General features: G+C 35.9%; 1 protein-coding gene across 27 annotated transcripts in view; it reads right to left on the minus strand.

The window, feature by feature from the left end:
- CEP170 (centrosomal protein 170) overlaps positions 1-27,494 on the minus strand; it is a 131,358-nt gene that overhangs the window by 86,406 nt on the left and 17,458 nt on the right. For 25 of the 27 annotated variants that reach the window (XM_047435483.1, XM_006711843.5, XM_017002951.3 and 22 more), the window contains exons 2-4: positions 14,343-14,488; positions 10,891-10,980; positions 1,053-1,131 (exon numbers count right to left, since the gene is read on the minus strand). In XM_047435483.1, coding sequence (XP_047291439.1) covers positions 1,053-1,131; positions 10,891-10,980; positions 14,343-14,447 — 274 coding nt within the window. In that variant the 5' untranslated portion in view covers positions 14,448-14,488. Of the gene's footprint in view, positions 1-1,052; positions 1,132-10,890; positions 10,981-14,342; positions 14,489-17,546; positions 17,647-21,730; positions 24,847-27,494 lie in introns of those variants that run through there. The other 2 variants (XM_047435495.1, XM_017002932.2) reach the window with 2 other exon arrangements.

The following is a 27,494-nucleotide window of genomic DNA, read 5'->3' on the forward strand; positions in this document are numbered from 1 at the left end:
AGGCTGGTCTCGAACTCCTGACCTCGTGACCTGCCCACCTCAGCCTCCCGAAGTGCTGGGATTACAGGTGTGAGCCACAGCACCTGGACTATTTCTCGTAAATGTCAAGGAACAATTTTATAGTGTTAATACATTTACTTTAAGCATCTACTCTATTTAGCTGAGACTATGCTTTTTCTGCTACGGTGACAAAAGTCCATCCAAATTGCTATGCTTAATACATTCTTTATTACCAAAGTCCCAATAAAAGTAGTAATTCAAAAAAACTAAAACTCAAAAAAAAAAAAAACAACCTTCAGCATTATGTGGAATAGCTGTATTTTAATTAAATGTACATAAATCCTTTTTACAAAGCTTCTTGCCTACTATGAATGGAAATGTCTTTCTTCTTCTGCAATCATGCTCCTTCCCTTCACTAGAGATTCTTCACGCTGCCCCATGCAGTTTAATACAGTCATGTCCTTGTTCAATTATTAGATTCCTAATTTTAAACATAAGAATTTTAAATACACACTAAATGCATAATGTGGATTAATCAGAGAGCGTAGGTCTTAGAAGACACAGGATATTGAAAAGTTTGAATTTAATAGGCAATATAGCTGTGATGCATAAAACAGTTAACGGGAGGGATGGAAGGAAAAGTAGGTTTAAATTCTTACATTCATCCCAGGAGGCTGATTCATGCATCATGTTCCACCTGAAAGCAATCCCTAGGCTGGACTAAAATTAAACATTCCCCTGTCCTCTCCCCAGTTACATTCTTTGATGCTCAAATTATATATGCAATAGCACTTCAGTGAGACTGATGCTGAAACTACATAAATAGAGAGAGAGAGGGAAAAAAAAAGCTGAGTCCACCAACTTTTCCATGATTACTTTTAGGAACAGGCATAATAACTAAAAATATATATGTATTTTAGTATAGGAATGCACCCAATAAATAGAAATTCTGGCATATCTATATTGTGAATTGTGTTTTAAAAATGTTAACTTAAACCAGAGTAAACATATTTGAATAAATTTAATAAGTACATAAAACCATTTAAGGATATCATATCCAAATCTCAGCTTATCTTCAAGTTTCAAGGTGATATAAGTCTGTTCCGGAATCCTTACATCATTCACAAAAGTCTACAAGGAAACAAAAAAAGATGTTAGGTTACGTATGAGGTATTAATTCTTACATTTCAGATAAGCAAATTCTCAAATCTGAGAGTTAAAAGCACATATCATACGGTGGCTAATACAGCCTGAGTATCATAAGATGTGCCATGCAGCCTGTAGGCTGATAAATGATTTTATACTAAGCCTTTTATCTCTCTTACTGGTAACACACAAAGAACCCAGTGCTGCCAAGATGAATTTAGGCACTTAGAATAGTTCCTAAAAATGGTGCCAAGAAAAGCTCCTAATCTAAAGCTGGCAAACCGCAAAGGGTAAAATATTTAACTGTTAATATACCATCAGGGTTTGCTCAACCCAATTTTAGCTTTTTGAGAAATTCTGTCTATGTGTAAGCATTGACATTTCATTACTTTTATTTTTGGAATTATTATAAAGAAGAAGAAGAAAATTTACTTTAAGAAAATAGAATAAAACTCAATTTATTTTGCAGTTGTCATATGGGTCCTTTGGATCCCTTTAGGAATCACATACATTATAAGGTTTCAGTGATCTTATTTTTCTGATATGTTGAAATTCTGCCATTTTATCATCCTAGCAACTATTTAATATTTACTCATCAATTATTCCAAACAACGCTAAAAGTGATCCAAATAATAAGACAAAAGAATAACAGAAGCAATAACCAACAAAAAAATATTGTAAGCCACATTTACTATTATATTTTCTTTCTTCTCTCTCTCTCTCTTTCTTTCAGGGTCGCGGTGGTGCGATCATGGTGCACTGCAGCCTTGATTTCCTGGGCTCAGGTGATTTTCCTACCTCAGCCTCCTGAGTAGCTGGACTACAGGTGCATGCTACCATGCCCAGCTAATTTTTGTGTATTTTTTGTAGAGACAAGGTCTCCCTATGTTGCCCAGGCTGATCGCAAACTCCTGGGCTCAAATGATATGCCCACTTTGGCCTCCCAAAATCCTGGGATTATAGGTGTGAGCCACCATGCCTGGCCAAATTATATTTTCTAGTGGGCACATAAAAAAGGAAACAAGATAGAGGTGAGATTAGTTTTAATATTATACATTTCACCTGATATATCCAAAATAGTACCGTTTCAGTAAAGTACCAATATAAAAACTAACAAGGTATTTCATATTCTTTTTTTTTTCTTTTTTTGGTACTATGTCTTTAAAATTTAGACTACTCCACATTTCAAGGGCTCAACAGGCACACATGGTTAGTGGCTACTGTAGTGAAAAGCACAGACCTACGAGCATGATGCAATAGTGAAATAAATCACTATTTCATCATTCTTTAGTTATCTTACTGCAGTGGCCAAAATATTCCTCATCTTTCCAAGAAGGTATAAAAGACATCTGGAGATAAAATCTTTATACATTTTGGGGTTTCTTTTTTCACCTATTAAAGAGCACAGTTGAAAATCCAGAATTTCTGATTTAACATTCATAAAGGCAAAGAGAAGAAAACAGGAAGATATTTCATAATTATAAGATAAATACAAGAGACAGTGGGATTCTACACTATGATAATGTTGATAAAGCTGATAGCATAAGCAAAATTATCAGACTCTGTGTCTTCAAATGAAGACAGTCATAGACACATTTTCTCTAATGCAAGAATCAATGAGAAAGAATGTGTCCATGAAAAAAAAAGAAATTTTCATCTAGTTAGTCATTCAGTAAGAATCACGTAGTATTTTTCAAAAAGAATCTGAATGATTTTGGGTTTTGTGGGGGTTTTGTTTTTGGGGTTCTGAGACAGGGTCTCGCTCTGTCACCCAAGATGGAGTGCAGTGGCATGGACCACATCTCATTCTGAAGCCTCGACCTCCCAGGCTCAGGTGATTCTCCCACCTCAGCCTCCTCAGTAGCTGGGACTAGAGGCTTGTGCCACCACACCCTGCTAATTTTTAAATTTTTTGTAGATGGGGTCTCACTATGTCACCCAGGCTGGTCTTGAATTCCTGGCCTCAAGCAATCCTCCTGCATTGGCCTCCCAAAGTGCTGGGATTACAGGTGTAAGCCACCATCGCCAGCCTCATTTTAAAAGAAGTGTCATATTTTAAAAGAAATATTGACAGCCTTCTTTTTTCACATCTGTGTTCCAATACTTATTTGATATAGTATGTAAGTGGACATATTCTCAACACAAGTATCTATACAAAGGTGACTGGAAGAGATGATGTAGACATAAAATTATTGGATTGAGCTTCTAATTGTTGTTTATAAATCTAAAAATAATAAGTGTTTTGCACTTTATGGAGGAAAAAAGATGGCTATCCTATTAACAAAATTATAAGCTGTAAAGTTTTTTTTTTTTTTTTTTTTTTGAGATGGAGTCTTGCTCTTGTTGCCCAGGCTGGAGTGTAATGGCGTGATCTCAGCTCACTACAACTTCTGCCTCCCAGGTTCAAGCGATTCTCCTGCCTCAGCCTCTCAAGTAGCTGGGATTACAGGCACCTGCCGCCACGCCTGGCTAATTTTTGTATTTTTAGTAGCGATGGGGTTTCACCAGGTTAGCCAAGCTGGTCTTGAACTCCTGACCTTAGGTGATTCACCTGCCTCAGCCTCCCAAAGGGCTAAGATTACAGGGGTGAGCTACTGCGCCCAGCCAAAATTTTTAAAACACTGTGTTTTGACCATGCAAGAACAAGAAGCACCAGAAATAATACACTAGAATTAACTAAAGACATACAGTACTTGAGATCTGGAATCAACATTTATAAGATGGATATATGTTCCAGGTGAATACATGTCAACTGATGAGCAGTTAGTTGCATTCAAACAACACTGCCCATTTTGGGTAGTATATACCTTTAAACACCAGGAAAATATGGAATAAAAATTTGAGTTTGTCATGTCTAATTTTTTATTAAAATTTCAAGTTGTTTTAATTACCCTTTTATTTTTACTTTTGTAAATTATTTGTACAATATTTTTTTTAAAAAAGGGTCCACTGGATTATTGCCGGAAGTCAGTGACCCTGAATGGAGGGACCAGCTGAAGCCATGGCAGAAGAACATAAATTGTGAAGATTTCATGGACATTTATTAGTTCCCCAAATTAATACTTTTATAATTTCTTATGCCTGTCTTTACTGAAATCTCTGAACATAAATTGTGAAGATTTCATGGACATTTTATCACTTCCCCAGTCAATACTCTTGTGATTTCCTATGCCTGTCTTTAATCTCTTAATCCCGTCATCTTCGTAAGCTGAGGATGTATGTCGCCTCAGGACCCTGTGATGATTGTGTTAACTGCACAAATTGTTTAAACAATATGAAATCTGGGCACCTTGAAAAAAGAACAGGATAACAGCGATGTTCAGGGAACAAGGGAGATAACCATTAGGTCTGGCTGCCTGAGAGCCAGGCAGAACAGAGCCATATTTCTCTTCTTTCAAAAGCGAATAGGAGAAATATCGCTGAATTCCTTTTCTCAGCAAGGAACAGCCCTGAGAAAGAGAATGCGTTCCTAGTGGGAGGTCTCTGAAATGGCCACTCTGGGAATGTCTGTCTTTTACGGTTGGAGATAAGGGATGAAATAAGCCCCAGTCTCCCGTAGCACTCCCAGGCTTATTAGGACGAGGAAATTCCCACCTAATAAATTTTGGTCAGACTGGTTGTCTGCTCTCAAACCCTGTCTCCTGATAAGATGTTATCAATGACAATGCGTGCCCAGTGGGACATGATACTTCATTAGCATTTTTAATTTCACCTGGGTCCTGTGATCTCGCCCTGCCTCCATTTGCCTTGTGATATTTTATTACCTTGTGAAGCATGTCATCTCTGTGACCCACACCCTATTCATACACTCCCTCCCCTTCTGAAGATCACTAATAAAAACTTGCTGGTTTTGCAGCTTGCGGGGCATCACGGAACCTGCTGACGTGATGTCTCCCCTGGATACCCAGCTTTAAAATTTCTCTCTTTTGTACTCTTTCCCTTTATTTCTCAGACCAGCTGACACTTAGGGAAATACAAAAGAACCTATGTGAAATAACGTTGAATTATCGGGGGTAGGTTCCCCTGATACTAGATACAGATGGTAAATGGTGATGACTATCTTTACTGGCATACTGAGAGTTAAGGGCCTAGAATTTGCTAAATTTATAGAACACAGAACAAAGGTTATGGTTAACTGCCTATGCAGACATCAAATAAACACCCAACAAGTTTTTCTTTGATAAACTGAAATTTAAAAAATTACTTTATTCTTTCCTTTTTTAAATTTTATTATTATTATACTTTAAGTTTTAGGGTACATGTGCACAATGTGCAGGTTAGTTACATATGTATACATGTGCCATGCTGGTGTGCTGCACCCATTAACTCGTCATTTAGCATTAGGTATATCTCCTAATGCTATCCCTGCCCCCCTCCCCCCGACCCCACAACAGGCCCCAGAGTGTGATGTTCCCCTTCCTGTGTCCATGTGTTCTCATTGTTCAATTCCAACCTATAAGTGAGAACATCTGGTGTTTGGTTTTTTGCTTTTATCATCTTCTATTTTATTAGATTTGAGATGGCCATGATAGCTTATTTGAGAAGACTGCCCTTCCATGATGAGGTAGTTACAGTAAAATACTTAAAGGGATTAGGTTATTAAACTCTCATATTTCTATGCATAAATAGCTCTTTGTAATATGCCATAAAATAAGTTTTAAGTCTACAAAAGAAATCAGAAAAAGTTACAATCTTAGTTTCAAGCATATATATAGAGATAGGGGAATACCATTAAGACTCTAGATTATATCCTAGAATGATTTATGAGTAATCCTAAATCACAAGCTTCCAACATGTTTTAAAGAAAGGTTGAAATTGTAATACAAAGAAAATTCAAAGGCTTCAGAGACTTATAAACTCTAACTTCAGGTTCATTTCCAAAATGAAGACTTCAGTGTTTTAAAACTTATGTCTTGAGTTTACTAAAGTATTCGGAGGATACAGTCATGCATTGCTTAACAATGGGGCAACATTCTGAGAAACACATCACTAAGCGATTTACTTCACTGTATGAACATTATAGAGTTTACAGTACTTACACAAACCTAGATAGTATAGCCTACTACACACCCAGGCTGTATTGTATATCCTATTGCTCCTAGGCTACAAATCTATACAGCCTGTTACTATACTGAATATTGTATGCAATTGTAACACAGATAGGAATTCTTCAGCTCCATTATAATCTTATGGTACCACTGCCGTGTATGTGGTCTGCCGTTATGGGATGCATGACTCTAATTACAAAACAGAAGAACTGAGGAAAATGATGCAAAAGAATGAAAGAAAATGTTAATTTACTAATGTCTGGTAGGCAAAAGATAACTAGATACAGTATTGAAGAGGAGTGCTACAGTTCTGAAATTCTGAGCCAATTTTATTTGAAACTTGTCTCTAATAACCTAAAACACCACATTTACTCAAAAGGCCTGTGATGACCTAGAAGATCCATTTAAGTTTAAGATTGCATAACTCTCTTAAATATTAAGCACCTGTTGTGTGTTGAACATGTGTACTAGGCACTTTCAGAGATCGAGAAACATATAATTTTAACATGCTGCCATTTATGACAGAACTATTCCCTAAAGTCTAAAAAGGCTTAGGAAATATGAGCCAGACACAAAATTTCAGTTCACAAAAAATGCAAGTGAAAACATCTGTGAGGAAATAGTCTCCTGAAGGTCTAAAATTACCAATGGGAAAGAGAAAATTTCAAAGAGCCAGAGGAAAAATCATTTAACTAGATCAAATTTTAATAACTTAGATACGGGAAAAAAAATGAGTTTTGTTTCTTTGTCAGTGCCATTTCAACACACCAGGTAGAGACCTGGTGGTGAGGAAAATGAGGCAAAGAGAATGAAGTAATCATCAAGATCTTGGAGTCCAGAAGTGGCAATGTTGGGATTCGAAATCAGGTCTCTGAACTACAAATCCTATGAGCGTTCCACATCAAGATTAGGTGCCCAAGCTAAACCAGCTCCCGAAATTCCTCCATTCAAACCACTAACCCCACAGAAGCAAACCAAACTTAAATAAATACCTATTTAATTTACATACAACTACATGACACAATTGATAGTATAAAATCATATAGCCAGCATACATTGTATTGATGATCTGGGAAAGTGAACAGAGCACAACCACCTCAATCTCTCTGCCAGCTACAAAAGCCTCCTCTCCTTCCCTAACCTTTCCTTTCAACCTTTAGTGAAGACCATTCTCTACTCTATACCACACAGGTCTGATGCTGGCAGGAACTCTAGTGTGCAAAGGGGACACAGTGTGTCTGGAACACAGACTGCTGATGGGGGCAGTCCAGTAACAAATGGCAGGCTTGCAATGGCACAGGAGGGGTAGGGCAGAGGCCATGGTGGCTACCAGAGGGGCAAGGGCCCCAGTGGAGGAGGCAGGGGGAACTGAAGGCAAACAGGGGTTCCCAAAGAAAGAGAACCTTCAATGGGTTTGCAGGAAAATGGCCCGTTAAAATATCAGCAACGGAACCGACTGTAGCTTTCTCAGGCAGAACAACCTCATTTCTGGTGGCAATTCTGTAAATTGTAGATCTAGGTCCCTTGGGAGTGTATTCTGGGCTAGGGTGAAAGGGGACAGGAGTGGAAATGATCACTTTTAAGTTGAATTTAGTTGGTAAGTGATTTTTCTAAACAGTAACAGTGAATTCTTTGAAAAGTATATAGGCTACAGGTTGCTAAACTTGTCTTTGCTGCTTTTCTTACCATAATAAAAATAACTTACATTTACTGAATGCTTACTATGTACTGTTGTTTAAAATTATTAGCTTATTTATATCTTTACAACACATACAACACGCTCACACAACCTGTGAGTACCATTTTATTATTTCTATTTTTTAAAAAATTGAGGAATAGAGAACTTAGGTAATTTGTCCAAGGTGACATCAAAGCTGGGTTCATAACCACTACACTGTGTCCTCCTACCTCCAAAAGTACTACTTTTAACCTGATACTTAAAGTTCTAGAATAATATGGATAATAAGAGTAAATAGGCTGCGAATAATAGTCTACAAGTTCTCTTATGACTAAAATGCATGATAGTTGGTAGTTCATAGACTTTTGACATTTTTTGGCTGCTAAAGACCTTTGTGGCATGTTTCTTAGGCTGTCATTTGGGTAACAGTATATTTATCATTTATGTAATGCTTTAAAGTTCTATACTAAGCGCACACTCAAATGTACTGTTACATTTAATCCTCATAACAATACTACAGAGCAGGAATTATTTCATCATTTAATAGCTGAAGCAAGATTCTGCATTGCATCTTTGCTTTCATAAACTTCAACTCATTACATGTTTACACACTTTGGAAGGTAGTATATATGAGGAAACTGAATTTCAGAGAGATTAAGTGATTTGTCCCAGGTTACACTGCTGATAAATAACAGATCTGAGTTTCAAATCCTGGTCCTGATTTCAAGCTTAAAATGCAGATGTCGCTCTCCATGAGTTAGTATCTTTCACAATATTATTGAGTATAATCAAATTATAAGAAAGGCCAACCTAGAAAAATGTCATGTTTCACCTGATTATTTTTGGAACCAATACCAAGTAATTTCCATATTTGAGCATAGGCTTTTAAAAGACTAAAATGCTGATGTAATTCCCGCTGCTTATTTTCCAAAATAACAATGTAAAGACATACAGACTACCACTGTTCATCTGTTGTCAAGATGAAACTTTCTAGACTTAAAGACAATATAACATTGTCAAAATGTTCCACATATAGAAGTTAAAATTTTTCACTATAAATTCTTCAAGTAGAAAATTAATTCAATTCCACTAAAGAAAGATTTACTGGGTTCATGCACTGTGCAGAGCCCTCTGCTAGGCACTGTGGTCACAGAAGCAGAAGGCACATGAACTTATTCAGGAGCTCATAAGTCAGCATAGCTACAGAGGTATAAAAGTAGATTTAATACCAGGCTGATCAAGGACACAAAGGCTTATGTGTGGAGAAGGAAGAGAGAAATTCTAGCAAAGAGGAGTTGAGAATCAAAATTGCTAACATTCATGCCTAATGTTACAACAGTTTCTACCTACTTTGCCTATCTCTGCTAATTTTAATCCTTTCAACATGTCAACATCAGCAGGTTAAAATTCCTAAGTAAACGGGCCTTTGTTTCATCTCTTCAAAAAGAAGTAGAATTTGAGCTTTATTTTAAAAAATGTGTAAAACTTTTATAAATGGCAAGGCAGATGGGAGAAAGAGTAGACTGAAGAAAATCTAACAAATTATTTGAAGAAAGACATAGCATAGCAGGAAGACTACTGTTTGGAAGAAGAGCAAGGGAAAATGTAATGATGGAGCATCAATCTGGAAAGGTGGATAATGCTAAATGTGAGAGTTTTCAGGGCAAACATGAAGAACATACACTTAATTCTACATGCTTTGAGAAAAAAAAATGCTTGAATAAAACCAACAGAGAAAAAAAAAGGCTTGAATAAAACCAACAGGAAAACATGCCTACAAAAAATTTGTATTTATCTCAAAGAATAAATATAAAAGTCCTTCAGTAGCAGGCCAATTCAGAATTGGTTAAAAAAAATGTATTACCATATTTGCCAAATTTCTGCATGTTCTTGTACATAATGTTTGATGTACATTTGAAAAGCATGAATAGTCTGAAGCAGTTGGGATGCACTTATTTCTGTTAAATTCATTTTAAGAATTTCAGCAGCACAGATAGGAACAACACAGTATTTGCTTGTGTTAGCAGAACCATAAGCAAATGAAGAAACTGAAATAAAAGAAATAATTCAATACTTCAGCACTCTTTTTAGTTTGTAGCTACTTATATTATGCCAAATGTAGACAGACCAAATGAAGAAATAAGAAAAAATTCACTTCAGTAACACAAAAATATATTCAAAGTATGAATTCCAAGAATAATGAACAATGGCGGTTAGATAATGTGCTATATTTGTGAAGGCAAATGGTTGTGTTGTTTCACCTTTTTTACCCTAGCAGAGAAAGTTGTCTACTCTCTGGCACCTTTCCATCTTTCTTTTCTTTTCTTTTTTTTGAGACGCAGTCTTGCTTGTTCTGTCGCCCAGGCTGGAGTGCAGTGGCGCTGTCTCGGCTCACAACAAGCTCCGCCTCCCGGGTTCACGCCATTCTCCTGCCTCAGACTACCGAGTAGCTGGGACTACAGGAGCCCGCCACCACACCCGGCTAATTTTTTGCATGTTTAGTAGAGAGGGGGTTCACCGTGTTAGCCAGGATGGTCTGGATCTCCTGACCTCGTGATCCGCCCGCCTCGGCCTCCCAAAGGGCTGGGATGACAGGCGTGAGCCACCGCGCCCGGCCCCAGCTCCATCTTTATTTTCTAAACTTAACCATTACTTCTCTGTCCCTGAGAGTACTTTTTTGCATTCTCACTGCCATGACTTTTTACCGTTTTCCCTCATATAAATTACAGCCATATAGTGAAGTCAAGCTTAGGTTCCAACTCCTTAAAGAAGTCTTCTTTAGCCATCACAGACAATGACAACCACCTTCTGGATTCATCTGCTTATAGTTTCTTTGGAATATGGGCTAGTTTCATATTCTATTGGATGGTCCCCAAAGTGCTATGTACCTGATAAGCATTTGAAAATAACATACAAAGTAAAGAAAAAGAAAATGTAGCTAGGAAATGTAATCTGATTTTTATTCTTACAATATTAAACAAATGTTCAAACAAGACAAAAAATAAACCATTGACTTACCCCATTGAGGCTGCCCAAATCCTTCACTAAATGCTCATCCGTAGACGCATCATAGTTGATGACAGCGTGTTGCTTATCCACACTACGAGACTGAAAGGAATGTTGTCAGTTAATAAATATAAGAAAATACTAGAATAAATACCAGTCACATTTTGGCTAGATACCTAATATTAATAGGACAGTAAATATAGGGAAATATCAAAGTAAGTGTGGATTAAATGAGATTAAAACGGTGCCACTATACAACAAAATCTTTTTAGCATCACTGCCCAAAGAGGAAAACATAAAATTTTAAAGATATTCTTTTCTACTAAATTCACATGTTCTATTAAGAATTTACATCAGCTGACTTCGCTGAATGTATTAACTTAATTTTTTTAAATTTAAAACTGTTATAGAGAAATCATGTGAATTATAATTTTACCATGTTTTACATATCTTATTGTAAAAAACATTTACCTTGTAGGATTTTCTTCTTTCAAAACAAAAAATGAGCATAAACTATTCAAAGAGTCCAAAGATTTAGAGGAAAAGGGACACAATATGACATGTTTCAGAACAAAATTATCTTCATTTAAAATATGGGCTCTAAAACTGGAATTCACGGGACAGCTCTAAGAGGGAAAGGGACTGAAAGTCAAAAGAAAGGTATTTTAATGGCAAACTGTGGTTTTTGAAAATTGCTTTTAAGTTTCTTTTAAAGTTTTCTCTCTCTCTGTCTCTCTCCAGAGCTTAGTAAGTTGTCTGCAGATGGAAGCACCCAAAAGCAGAACGATAAGCCTGTGGAAATTGGTATTGAAAGGAAATATCATTATAGTCACAGAAGAAACAGTCTGTGAACCAGTGAATCTGAACTTGATCACCATGTATTACGGGGTTACTGTGTGAACCCTGGTATACTAAAAGCAAAGAGAGTATCAAAAATGGGGAACAGACATGACTTCCAATTTTTGGTCCAACATGGAAAGAATCTGAAGTCATCGCTCCCATCTTCATAATAAGAAAAATGTTGAACAAACTGAAAACCAAAAACTCATCTTAGTTTTTCAGAGACCTGAGGTCACAAGGCAAATTACCACCCTGAAAAGTAGAGAGACAAGCAAATACAGAGAGAATCACAGCTTGCCAGGAGCAGAAGCCTCCGCTAGAAACAGCAACCAGTAGGACAACTTAAAGGTGAAGTGATTAATTGCTAGAGACTTGAGGGTGGACCAACTTGAGATTTAAAAAAACTCCTGCATTAAATCTAAAAATTGCTTAAAATTCATTTTTGTTTTCATTACTTTGAATTTTTATTCATCTGGTTAAACTAATGAAATACTAAATTCAGTTCTTAAGTTGGCAAGAAGCAACAACGCACCACTCAGCAAAATAATTTCACCATATTGTTGATGTATCAAGTTGATCTAGTCTAAGGATAAAACCTCCAAATGTTGTTAAGAGAAGTGAGATTTCAAGTACATGTAGGCTCTCAATAAATACTGAATGGATCCTCATAAATAATCTCTCTCTGAGGAAAAGAGTACATAGGAAAAGGGCAGAAATCCTTTGGACAATGGACTGAAATTCAAAGAAAAAAATCTAAATTAGAGTTGAGAAAAGGCAAATTCCAAAGCAAAGTGAAATGTTACCATTAGATATAGGACTAAAGGAGTCAAATGGCTACTCATGGAGCCAGAGAATGGTGGCTTTCGAAGGAGTGTGATAAACACAGATGAGGGATATTGAGAAAAAGTGATTTGGGGAGGAAGTAATTTAGGACAGGCTGCTTCACTAAGTGAACAACTTGTTTGAAATCTGGAATATCCTTAATCTACAATGTACCCCGCCCTCCAACTGCTTATGGTGAACACTGACGGTACATAAACACCTACAGCAAAAGACAGAGCACACTTAAGACCTAAGAGAACAACAGAGTCCACTGAGTCGAGTGAGATGCCATTACAACTCTGGGGATTAGGGAGTGAGGAGTGGGCCTGTTATGTGGGATCACAAGAATACATCGTTTGTTTGTTTAATAAAGACAGTAACAATTCAAGAAGAGTAGTCAGGAACTCAAGGCAAAGAAGATCAGTTTAGTACTCACAGAATAAGACAATCCCATTTGTGTAACTATTTTTTTAAAAAAGCAGCCAATGAAAAAAAAATTCCTATGTTTTTAGTTATTATGAAATGTATATAAAGTATCAATGTGTTTCAGCACCCATGACAGGAATTAAGCAGAAGACCAAGATTACAGAACATAATACATCTAGTGACCGAGTCAAGGAAAACTGAGGGAATAGGAAGAATATGTAATGGATATCTAACCACTTAAGCATTAAACTGTTTTCATTTCTATATAATCAAATTCACATTTCCTCTAGATTAAACTGAACCAGAAGGTGCATGACAACTTGATATTCACAACCCATTTGGATATTTCAATGAAAATTTAATAAAAATCTCTCAGAAATACATAATTTAAATCCTAACAAAGACTGCTAACTTAATCACGTTTCTGATACTAATGGGAAAACCTTAGCTGATCTGAGCTTAAAACTGCAAAGATAGGCAATTTTGACCAGGCCCTTTTTTTCCTGTTACTTAAACTTCTGGTAAGAATGAAAGACTCCAGTCCCTGTCCTTTTATAGCAAGGGTGTCCAATCTTTCGGCTTCCCCGGGCCACACTGGAAGAAGAATTGTCTTGGGTCACACATAAAATACACTAACAACAGCTGATGAACTAAAAAAAAAAAAAATTGCAAAAAAAACACCTCATGATATTTTAAGCAAGTTTATGAATTTGTGCTGGGCCGCATTCAAAGCCGTCCTGGGCCTCAGGTTGGATGAACTTGTTTTATAGTGTTTTCCCTGTAAGAATCTATGCCTCCTCCATCTGATTCTTACCCCTATAGAGACCCTCTTCCTGAGGCTGTGCACTCTTGAGGATCCATTTTACTTGGAGTAACTTACAGTAACTTTTATACTATCTGTGTGTATCACATAACATCACGTTGTATACCTTAAATATACACAATAAAATTTACTTTTAAAAATTGTCAACAATCTTCACTTATGCTTGAACTCCTGGCAGGTATCATAATGAACATCTCTAAAAGTGATGAAACTAACTTCCATTATCACTGAAGTATCAGTGATCAAAATTCAGTTTTACTCCATGCTATGCTGATTTTTGCAATGTCTTATTTTAAAAGCATATAATGTGAAACTTTCTGCTTACTAATAAACTTCTTTATTCTGAGAATTTATTTTTCTAAATTGAATCTTCAAGACTTAGAACTTTTTTTAGATGATTCAAGGGGGCAAAAAATTAATTAGAATGATAGCTGGAGCTAAAAGGAGAGAAAGTTCAAATCTAAATAGCACTGTTTTCTAAAGGAGTAGAAAAAGATTTTACACTAATTTCAAGTTTTGAATAAACACATATAGAGAAGCTTGACACAATTACCTGCAACATGAGCTCACAGTCATCTCTTCCAACAAAAATCATTTCTCGTGGCAGCCTGTGGCGAGTGCCTCCACTGCTCACCAAAAACCAGGATGTTAAGCTCATTTTCTGCTTAGCTTCTAAGTCTTTGGCAAAGCTACGTCATCCTGAAGAGAAACATGAAGAAAAATATACGTTCAGATATTTTTAGCTTTAGTGGCTATTCACCAAACACTGGAAGGCCTAAGAATAGAACTGCGTTCATCAACATTTATACTTAATTAAATGAACTGTCCACAGGTCCCAGGAAATGACATATATACTAAATTCTCATCAGTGAAGTAAGCCCACGGAATCCACTAAGAGTCCAGTTAAAAAGGAAGAGACTAAGGCAGTAAGTGGGTGCTCAACTAGCAAACTTTTATAGTTTTCATACTTCTGAAAGCCTTTTAGCACAGTTTATAAAGGTCTATAATCCTCAAGTAAATGCTCATGTTAGCATCATGTTAGTATTAGAAAAATAGCAATACTGTACCAATAAATGTCTTAGGTACAAATGGTTTGAGAAAGACACAATGAATTCAGTAAGTATATATGATACCTGATTAAGAACTATGTTGACCAAATAAATTGCTCTTTTGTCTATCAGGTGTAAACCACAGAATGCAATTTCAATTTCTTTTTCCTCACATGTACTTTATTGTCTTAATACGTTTTCCTAGAACAGCAATTCTGAAACATTCTGTTCTTGGGACCCTTTTATACTCTTTAAAAAATGAACTCCAAAGAGCATTTGTTTACATGGGCAATACATATCTATCTATCTATCTATATATATACACGTATATATATCTAGATATATATACACACGTATATATATCTATCTCTAGATATATATATCTAGATATATATATCTATATCTAGATATAAATATATCTATATATATACACGTATATATATGTATATACGTGTGTATATATGTGTATATATATGTACATGTCTATCTCTCTATAGATATATATATATCTAGATATATATATCTAGATATATATATATCTATAGAGAGATAGACATGTACATATATATACACATATATGTATGTATATATATAGTTTACATATTAAAATGAAACTGGTATTTATTAAGATAACATTAACCCAATTTCATTTAAAAATTACTAACATTTCTATAACAAAGTAACCATATTTTCCAAAACAAAAATAAGTGAGAAGAGTAGCACTATTTTACATTTTGCAAATCTCTTTAATGTCTACCTTAAAAAAATAAAACTGGTATCAGCTTTGAATTTAATCCATTGCCATATACTGCTTAACTTGAACTATATAAAGAAAACCTGGCTTCATACACATAAACAGGTGGAAAAGGGAGAGGTAATTTAATAGGCTTTTCAAATAATTGTAATTATTTTGTAATTTCTTTGATACTACATAAAAATTATATAAGCAGTAATTTCTTGAAGGTTTTTTGCAATATGGAATCTGAAACCATATTAATGAACTTTTCACACAATGTTATAGGAAAATCCATCTTATGGCTAGGCACAGTGGCTCACGCCGGTAATCCCAGCACTTTGGGAGGCCGAGGCGGGCAGATCACCTGAGGTCAGGAGCTCAAGACCAGTCTGACCAACACGGAGAAACCCCGACTCTACTAAAAATACAAAATTAGCTGGGCATGGTGGTGTGCACCTGTAATCCCAGCTACTCGGGAGGGTGAGGCACGGGAATCACTTGAACCCGGGAGGCAGAAGTTGCAGTTAGCTGAGATCACGCCACTGCACTTCATCCTGGGCAACAGGAGTGAAACTCCGTCTCAAAAAAACAAAAAAAGAAAATCCATCTTATATTTTGATGGGATTTTGTAACACCACGTATTGGTCCTTGGGAAAATATTGATTTCCTGAGTAATGAAGATCTTCCAAATGTTGACGTGTTTCATTATACTATTTTAAAACATCACACTCGTTAATATTACCACCTATCTTACCATAAAAGTCTTTTAAGTACAGGGAAGCTGTTAAGCTCATGATGGCAGAATCAAGTTTTCTAAAATTCTAACTTCCTCTTGACAGCTCAAATATTATCATTGGTCAAAAAAAAAAAATCCTGTCACTTAAATTCCTTGAAGTGACAAGCTCACGTTGTCTGTCAAACACCCAAGTGTATATAACCAAAATGTGTCTCTCAGTCATTTGTTTAAAGTAAAGTGGTATTTTATTAAATCAAGAGTCTAGTTCTGCAGACAACTCACATAAGGACACAATTTCTCCTTCAGAAAACCACAGCACTTTGGTATACAGCATAAGTGCTCTATGCATACTTCTATTTAGTCACATAGAATATTCAAAAGATGTGATTCAAGGGTCAGATTTAATACAATTAATAACTTTTACCATTTCATCGAGAACATTCTTAAGTGAAACTGGCTTAAAAAACAAACAAACAAACTCAGGAGTATACAGCAATGATGAATACAATTACTCCTTGGAGAATTTGGTGCCACTACTTTGATCTATGCTAAAGAGCCAAAAACTTCCATTGTTTTTGTAATGTCAGGGCAAATGTCAATACAATAAAAAAGGCAAATAATGCTTTGATGTCATTACGAAAAAGGTTTTGACCCTGTGGACCCTTGTAAGGTTTACCGAAGGCCTTTGGACTGAGAGCTTTGAGAATAGTTATCCTAGAGAATGGGGCTTGGTCATTAAGGGAATAAGCCCTGGAGTCATATAGACAGATGTGAGTCTGAATCCTGGTTCCACCACTTTTTATTCTGCATGACCTTAGGCTAGCTATTTATCCCATGTCCCTTAGTTTCTTCTTCAGTAAAATAAGAATAATGTCAGTTTGCACTCAAGTTCTTTCTTATGAATCAAAAGAATAATACTTGTAAATATTTTCCCATTCAACTGTATATTCTACTACACTTGAATTAGAGGCAAACTATACTACAGTAAAATGAAATATTCTGCAATAAGAAATATATCTCTATATATTAAACCAAAATCCTGTAAAATGCAGAACTTTATGTTAAGGTAAAATCTTGAATATCATATGTTATCTATACACACATGAAAAAACAATGGGTTTCATCAAAGCAAGTAAATAATTTTCTGTAAAGCTACAACAATCAACTCGTACTCCCTCCTCAGCTTATTTGATATAGTTGATTTATGTGGATTATTAAATCTCCCATTTACTCAACTTCTTAATGCAGATGTTGTTGGTCTTCCATCTGTCTACTTTGTCAATTTGGTTTTTAGCATTTCTTTCCCTGGTTCAGAATATATACTTCCTGGCCAAGTCTATAAAGGTGAATCCAAATTTTACTGGAGAAAAAAGCCCTCCGATCTAAATATAGTATATAATTTGCATACTGTATTTTCAGGGGACGATTTTAAAACACAACATGAATAAACAGGTCAACAGTTACACGTTTACTCAAGGGAACTGAAACAAAACCCAATATTAAGACATGTTAAAAGAAAATAAATCCAGCCTACATACAGTAAACTAAAACATGACAGCCAAATACGGATAACAGAAACAGTTTCTTAATATAGCAAAGTCCCAGAGTTAATAAGCATTATTCATATGCTCTAATATGTACAATATAAACATACAATAATTATACAGTTGGATAAAATAAAATAAAAACAATGGCTTTTTACATATTTCATCTTGACTTTAATAAGACTTAAAAGAATACATAGTTTCTGAAAAATACAAACAAAACACATTAATACTCAAGATGTGGAATATTTATTTCTTGAGCTGGGGAATGACCCTGAGTCCACTTACAGCTTCTCTGCTGAGTGGGAATGTGATATAACAGGAAGCTACTGTCTGTTTTTATATGAGACTTTCTCCCTGTCAGACAGCTTTCCGACTGGTCCCTCAGTATTAAGACACTCTTTTTCTACTAATTGGATATTACTAACACCCACACATGGATAAAACTAAAACCTGATTGGTGGTTTCTTCAGTAGCCAAGGCACGTGACTCAACTCAGGTTCCGCTAAATGGTGGGAAAGGAGCCTGTGGGTTTGCAACTTGTACAGAACACAACCAAGGTCTTAACCAGATGTGATAGCAGGTATATTTCTTTCCAGAATTTCTGGATTAGTCAAATAGACATGGGTTTTTGAATAGGCTTTCTGAATTAAATTACCAGTCCCTCATGCTTTCTAAATGACTGCAAAAATATATACATTACGTTTCGGCATTTCAGGTATCCTGCTTGTAAGGAGGGAAAAAAAAGGCCAAGAAGATAGCATCTAAAGATGCAATTGACAGAAATGATCTGAAGTGACTATTTTGGAACTCTGGCGTATGGTAAAAGAGGGTGACAAATGTCATGGAATTGCCATCTTTCATGGTAGCAGCTATCACTCATTCCACAGCCACAATCCCAACAGCTCCAAGAAGCAGCCTGGAGACAGCCTCCTGCATTCCTAGTGTGGCTTCCTGGAGCCAGGGTACACAAAAAGGAACTAGTCTTCCAAATACTGGATTGCATGATCTCATTGTTGCTTTTGATTACTGAGAAACCAATACAAAAGCTGGCCACCTACTTCAATACCCACGGACCTAAGAAACTTCCAAGGAATTTATTATATAAAGACAATGTGTGTGTGTTTGTTTTTCTTTCTCCTTTTTGAGGCCAGATATTGAAAGCAATCTTTATCAGGTCAATAGCTGACCACAGAGGAAACAGAAGAAACTTCAGTGACCACATTATAACAAAAACTACACACCTTGCAAAAACAGTTTACAAAAGTCACAAACAGATCATCACTTTAACCCTCAACAAGTAAGATTCAGCAATCCCTGGAGAGTGGAAGGATTACATTTCCAGATCTACCACAACATAATGTTTAAAAGGTCTAGTTCTCACCGGGCATGGTAGCCCACATATGTAATCTCTCCACTTTGGGAGGTGGAGGCAGGAGGATTCCTTGAGCCCAGGAATTCAAGACCAGCCTGGGCAACATAATGAGACCTCATATCTATGAAAAATAAAAAAAAAAATAGCTGGGCATGGTGGCATCCAGGAGGTTGAAGCTGCAGTGAGCCATGATCATGCCCTGCACGTCAGTCTGGGCAACAGAGTGAAACACTGCCTCAAAACAAATGAATAAATAAAAATAAGATACAAAATACAGTTCTCAAAAACCAAAAAATAACATAATGAAAATAAAGAAACAACAAAAAAGATTTGACAGAAACTCTCCCGTTAAAGCCCATTGTAGTTATTAGTTGAAGGTGTTAAATCAACTATCTACTGTCTTAAATATGTTGAATGAGCTAAAGAAAACCATCAACAAAAAAATTAGCAAAACAGTGTATGAAAAAAATGAGAATATCAGTAGGAAGACAGAAATTATGAAACGGAACCAAACATATTCTGGAGCTAAAAAGCAGACTAACTGAAGTAAGAAAAACTCAATAGAGGGGCTCAAAAGCAGATATGAGGAGGAGTTAGAAAGGTTCAGTGAACCTGAAGATAAGAACAGTGAGGCTGTCTTATCTTCAATATGAGAAGCAGAAAAACAAATGAAGTAAAATGAACAGAGCCTGAGGCACCAGTAGGATATCATCAAACATACTAATATACACATATAGGTGTCCCAGAAGGAAATATGACAGAAAAGTATTTGAAGTCTTAATGGAAAAATACTTCCAAAATACATCAATACACACATCCTAGAAGCTCAATAAACTACCAGCAGATAAACTCAAAGAGCTCCACACAAGAAACATTACAGTCAAATTGTCAGAACCTAAAGAAATAGAAAGAATTTTGAAAACAGTGACAGAAGTGACTCTTCATGTACAATGGAGCCTCAGTAAGATAAACAGCAGATTTCTTCTCAGAAACTATGGAGACTAGAAAGCAGTGGGATAGCAGTGGGAAAGGAGAAGAAAAAAAAAAACTGTCAATCAAGAATTTTATACCCAGCAAAACTATCTTTCAAGCATCATCATCATCATCATCATCATCATCATCATCATCATTATTATTATTATTATCATCATTATTATTTTTTTTAAGCAAGCAGAAATTAAGATATTTCTAGTTAAACAATAGCTGACACAGTTTTTTTTTTTGTCAGTACAGTGCCCTACAAAAAATGTGAAAGACATTTGGGCTGCAATGAAAGGACACTAGACAGTAACTTAAAACTGTGAAAAAAATTTTTAAAACCACTGATAAAGGTATCTATAAAGCTAAATATAAATCCACTGTTTTCATACTTTTCATATGGTTTGTAACTTCTGTTTTTCCCATATGGTTTAATAAACAAGTTCATAAAGCAATAATTATAATATGTTACTGGAAAGTATAAAGGTGTAATTTGTGACAATTATAATATTACGGGGGAGGAATGGAGATGTGCACAAGCAAAGTATCTGTATACTCTTGAAACTAAATTGATATATTCAAACTAGGTTTATAAGTTTAAGATATTAATTGGAATCGCCAAGGTAACCACTAAGAAAATACATTAAAAATATACAGTGAAAGAAAGGGAAATCAAAATGATACACTACAAAAAAGTTCAATTTTTAAAAAGACAATAATAAAAGAATAAAAGAAAAAACACATACAGAAGACAAATACATCAATGACAGAATTAAAACCATCTTTATGCTGGGTGCGGTGGCTCATGCCTGTAATTCCAGCACTTCATTTAAAGTGATTAATAATACACCTAAAGCAAACCCCCAAATTCTTCCATTTTTCCACATCAGCAATCCTCACTGTCTTTTCTTCTTCTTCTTCTTCTTTTTTTTTCTTTTTGAGACAAGGTCTGGCTCTCTATTGCTCAGGCAGGAGTTCAGTGGCAAGATCTCAGCACACTGCAACCTCCACCTCCCAAGCTCAAGCTCCAGGCTCCCACCTCACCTTCTTGAGTAACGGGGACTACAGGTGTGCAGCACCACACCTGACTAATTTTTGTATTTTTTTAGAGATGGGGTTTTGCCATGTTTCCCAGGCTGGTCTTGAACTCATGAGTTCAAGCAATCCACCCGCTTCAGCCTCTCAAAGTGCTGAGATTACAGGTGTGAGCCCCCATGCCTGGCCTTCAGTGTCTCTTCTAATACTGTAGTACTTGTTCTTGAAAGCAGACTAGACATAATACAAAATTATATCAGTCTCTATCTTCTGTGCTTATCAATTTCAGCATTTAGGAAATCTCAAAGAGTATGAGAAAGTACAAAACTAACAGATTTGCTTTTTGGTAAGTTTATTCCCATTCCCCCAGGGCAGAGTTAGCCATACTTTTCTCTGTAGTCCCACAATATTTTGTTCAAACATTATGCTACAATTTAAAGTATCATTTTTAGTATTAATAATTCTATACTGTAACGATATGATTACACCTCAAGTTGATGAGCTCTTTGAAGGCAGCAAAACTGTCTTCCTCCATTCCTCCCTTCTTTCAACAGCTATTGAGAAGCCTGCGGAATCCAGACACTCTGAGGATCAAGGACACATAAAGATAAAACAAACAAAAATATCTTGCCTCAAGGAACTCACTACTGCAGGGAATGGTAGTAGATGCCATGACAGAGATAAACCTAGGGTGTTACTAGAACAACAGGAGGTTGTCATTACTCCAGACATGGATGGTGACGGTAGGGATGGTATCATTCTAAACCAGCACAGAGCTGAAATACAGAGACACTTTTTCATCTTTGTATCCCTTGAGCCTACCCCAATGTTTCATCTACAGTGAGCATTTGACAAGCTATTTTTCAATGAATGAGTAGCTTTGGAGCTGCTACAAGTCTTGAAGTGAGGATAACCTAGAAATTTCCAGGGGCAGGAGGTGAAATTAATCATCTAACCTTTGACAGCAATTCAATCTAGCCATTAAAAAATCCTAGTTATAGTCCTCTTCGGTTGTCTCTTTCTTATTCTTTATCTTTTTGTCACATAAAGCTGTTTTCACTAGCAATCTGAGAAAAGTTGAAAGCTCAGACACTTGGGTGTCAGATGGATGTGAACACTGGCCCAGCATCACAGTTCCATTTACATGGAACTATCATTACATTTACATTTAAAGCTATCATTAACTTTAAAAACTGACTTTCCTGCTAAATCAGAGTTCTTTTCATGATTTAATGGACTAAAATGTAAATATCTAAGTTTTACATTCTAAATAAACATGAAACAAAGAAAAACTCTGCAGCTATTGAGCAGAGCACACAGCTTCACTACACAGGTTTAAAATTACATACATTTTACTGCTTTTTAAAAATATTTCAGGCCAGGCGCGGTGGCTCACGCCTGTAATCCCAGCACTTTGGGAGGCCGAGGCGGGCAGATCACGAGGTCAGGAGATCAAGACCATCCTGGCTAACATGGTGAAACCCTGTCTCTATTAAAAATACAAAAAATTAGCCGATTGTGGTGGCAGGCGCCTGTAGTCCCAGCTAATTAGGAGGCTGAGGCAGGAGAATGGTGTGAACCCAGGAGGCGGAGCTTACAGTGAGCCAAGATCACGCCACTGTACTCCAGACTGGGCAACAGAGCAAGACTCCATCTCAAAAAAAAAATATATATATATATATATATATATATTTTAAAACGTTGTTCCTATTCACATATCATTCAAATCGAGGAATGATGGCAAGAGGGGTCTGAATGATGTTAATTACTATAATACTTAAGTTGAGACAGGCAATAATAAGTAAGTGCACTTGATATATGACAGTATAACAAGAGAACTACAAAATAGTGCACCATATCACCCATAAAAAGAAACTGGTTTACTCAGATTATTAAGCCTGAGAAAAAATCATTATTCTATAAATGATAGTCAGTGTATACAATTACTTGAGCTAAAACACATGTTAAGGGCAGTCTATCCTTATGGTCTGGCAATTGGCTGGCTGATTCATCACCAGATGGCTTTATAAAGATTAAACCTCCTCTCACCCCACAACTCCTGCTATTGCAGAGAAAGAAATAGCTGGCCTCACATTAGGACTATCGGTCTACACAGTAGAGAAAGAAATAGCTGGCCTCACATTAGGACTATCGTCTACACAGTAGGAAATGCTTTTCTCTAGCTTATGCATTTCTCATTTTAATAAGATATTATCTACTTAGGCATCCATGTGACAACTTTTCTTTTGGTACCAACAGGCATGAAAGGGTGACAATATTCTCCATGGGGTTGGCCCAGGACATAGCTTTGTTTCCTGAAAGAATAAATCGTAGGAGAAAGATGATCTGGTTTTCTTAATAAAATCAATGAAAATCTAAACAAAGGGGGGTTAAAAGTGATACACTTCACCTTACAAAATTGTAATCTGAACCAGCAGTAAAGCTTATCAACTGAAATAAACACACTAAGGCATTGCATCAACTGGCATCTGTAATTATGCCATGTCTTTTTACCCCATCATACCAAGTATCTAAAAGATACAATTTTAAACAAATGTATAAATTCAGGAATCCTATTTTACATTTTCACCCCTAAAAAGTCCCTAACAGAAAATATATCCTCAACACCAGAAGTCTGTCTTTTGATGCCACGTATTTCTGAAAATGAAGAAATAATTAGGGGTGGCATTTCAACTAAGGATTCATTATCAAATAAAGTCCAAACATACATCATAGTAACTCAGGATCAAGTAAAATGCAAATCATATATTATAAAAGCAAATGGTTTTATTCATAATTGGTAGCATTTATTGACTACTTAATATGAATCAGGCACTGTTCTAAGAATTTCACATATAGGTGTGTATATAGACATAATTGGTTTTAGCTACAAAAATTCTTCAAGTTCGAGAAAATGGACATAAACATTATATACTGTTACACATGAGGACCCCATTTTATAGAGTACTATAAAATAAAACCCAGTTTGTTTCTTCATTCACAAGTAGTAAGCACTATAAGATACTGGGGAAAGAGAATGGATCAAGATAGAAAAAGTTCCTAATCTCACAGCAGCAAAAATAAACAAATAGCTACATAAATGAATAAGAAAACCTCAGGGGCAGTGGGAAGAAAGAAACATGAAAAAACAAAGAGGACAGGATAACTCGGGTGGTGCTCTTCAGGCCGGGGTGGTCTACGGAAATATCTTTGAGAAACTGACATATGCTTAGAACATATTCAAAAATTCAGCTCTGCTGTATAATTAATTTGATCTGGCACACATAATGAAATATACTCTTGGAAAAAATTCATTTATTTAAAATCTCCACCCTTGTTTTATAGTTACTCCAAAAGGATAAATCCACAGCTGTGCTTTTTTTGGATACTTACCAAGATACTTGTTTCATGCTCATGTGAACAAACTCATTACTGGGAAAATTTCTGCTTTCATACACTCATGATTATTCTGGAATGACTACTCTAAATTTTACCTTTATCATCTGCCATATACATTATTAATTCTTTTGTGAAAGGCAATTAAAGCAAATAGGTTTAAAGAAAAAATATAAGCTGCAACTTAAATCTGATATAGCATTAAAACTAAAAAAAAAAAAAAATTCTCATAAAAATAAGTGAAGATGACATTCCAAATACCACACCACATATTCTATGTCTGAGTTTATTATATATTTTTAACAGAAGATTTAGATTTGATGGGAAAAGCTAGCAAGCCAGTGATTTAATTAAAGATTTCTTCATAAAAAACATTCAATAAAGTGCTTAAAGAAAATACCTAAGAAAAAACAAGTTATACTTTTCCATAAATTATCTAGGCATTAAAAATTCTTGCTAGGTTTTCCCTGTCAGTTTATGAAACACGTAAAGTCTGACTTGTTTGCTTTTGTAGAACTGTACTACCCTCATTAAAGCATAATTTTGTTGCTTTACACCAAAAAATCAATTGACTTAGATTCAGACATTTATCAAGTACCTCCTTTGTGCCAGTAACTGTGCTAATTGCTTCTATTAATACTTGCATTCTTTCATTTAACTCCCAAAACAAGCATTCAAGAAACATTTTTCCCTTAAGAAAACTAAAGTTAAAGCCTTATTCAAGGTTACAAATGCAGTATAAACAGGAACCACCTAGATTCAAATCTGGGCCTTCAGCTACCAAATATGGGGCTTTTCCCACAAATCACTATCTCCTTTGTATTTTTCTTAAATATACCTCGAAATGATGCAGGTGATTCTGCCAGTCTCGGATTTGGCTACAGTTGGAGTATGATGATATGCAATATATTTTAACTTAACAACGAGTTCTCTAACACTCTGTTTGGGCAATAAATGCTGACAGTTCATGTAAATTTCAGCCTATTTTCAATCTTCTCAGCCTCCTGTTTGGCCACCAGCAGGCTCCAAGATTCTCTCCTCGAGAAGTTCACAGACAAGAAAGAATCAATCAGTTATTAAAACCAAAAACCAAAAATCAGCTGGCCAAAAATCAGCGGATCAATCTAGAGAAACGAGGGAAATTTAGTAAACTGGGGTATAGCATGGATTAGAAACCTAGACTCTGAAAGAATAGTAAACTATCTCCAGGTTCACTAAATAACTATAAATCTAAAAAACTGTCAGATCATAGAGCACTAGGAGCAGGAAAAGCCACACAAAGCTGTCTGGAAGACCTGAAACTGTCTACAGGAGGGAGTGACAATGGGAGGAAAGCAGTCTGGGTTAAGGGTCTGTTACGATCCTGAAAGTCAAATGCTTTGATTCACTGTTCTTAGCTCACGCAGGACAACAATTTCTCTGCCATGTGTCTGCAATTAATTTTAGCATATCACTAATTCTTGTGCCCTTTAAAAATGGTTTCTGTTCATCTTCAATACCTTTTCTGATTCACTATACATTAACTATTTGGGAGGTGGGTACAAATCATTTCCATTGCATTATCAGTATAACATATGAAAAGTGAATTGAAACTTCAAAGTGTAGAAAACTGAAACGTCTCAGAGTCTATTTTAAGCAAGAATGTATTTAGTGAATATATCACTAACACACTTTACTGTATAACAGTAAGTTGCTAATTACTAGCCTAAATTATGCAGTTTTTCTTTTTATCTTCATGTTAAATTATAATTTTTATAAATATCTCTATACCAGCACTGTGCAACAGACTGTGATGATGGAAATATTCCTGTCCAATACATTAGCCACAAGCCATGTGTTAACTATTGAGCACTTGAAATACAGCTAATACAACTAAAAAGATGAATTTTAAATTTCATTTAATTTTAATTCATTTAAATTTACATATTCATATATGGCTAGTGGCACTCTAGCTAGTTCAGCTCTCAAACTAACAAATGACACTATTATTTACCTTAAGGATCGCTTTCGTTAAATACCTCATACTTATAGTATATAAACATGCAGAATAGCTGATAAAATAATGCATGCTGGAAAAGAAAATTTTAATCTAATCAAAAGAAAATAAAGTGCTTTGTATTTTAATTTAATTGAGATAGTATCACTATAGGCCAGGCATGGTGGCTCACGCCTGTAATCCCAGCACTTTGGGAGGCCGAGGAGGGTGGATCACCCTGAGGTCAGGAGTTCGAGACCAACCTGGCCAATATGGTGAAACCCCCGTCTCTACTAAAAATATAAAAAATTAGCTGGGCCTTGTGGCGGGTGCCTGTAATCCTAGCTACTGGGGGTGGTGAGGCAGGAGAATTGCTTGAGCCTGGCAGGTGGAGGTCGCAGTGGGCCAAGATCACACCACTGCACTCCAGCCTGGGCAACAGAACGAGACTCCATCTTAAAAAAGACAGCATCATTATGACTTTCATACAAAGTAGTAAATTATATAAACAATCGGGTCTATCTTTTGTCTAAAATTTTTAAATATTCATTGTATTGGCAAGACTGTTCTTTCATATACTGTAATTCTTAGGCTATGGATGTTTAAAGTGATTAGGTTTATCTTTACCAGAATGCCATGAGGTATGTAACAGTTCAATGGAATTGTTCTGTAGTTTGATTATTTCTGAGAAGGTGAAATACAAGAATTCTCTTAAGGGAGGGAATCGCTAGGCACAGCCAGCCTAAAGAACACTGAACACTGGGAGGCCGAGGTGGGACGATCACTTGAGCCGAGGAATTCAGGACCAACCTAGGCAACAAAGTGACACCCTGTCTCTACAAAAAAATAAAAAAAATAAATAAATTGCCAGGTGTGGTGAC

The sequence above is a fragment of the Homo sapiens genome, chromosome 1 (assembly GCF_000001405.40).
Source record: "Homo sapiens chromosome 1, GRCh38.p14 Primary Assembly".
NCBI classification, from domain to species: domain Eukaryota; kingdom Metazoa; phylum Chordata; class Mammalia; order Primates; family Hominidae; genus Homo; species Homo sapiens.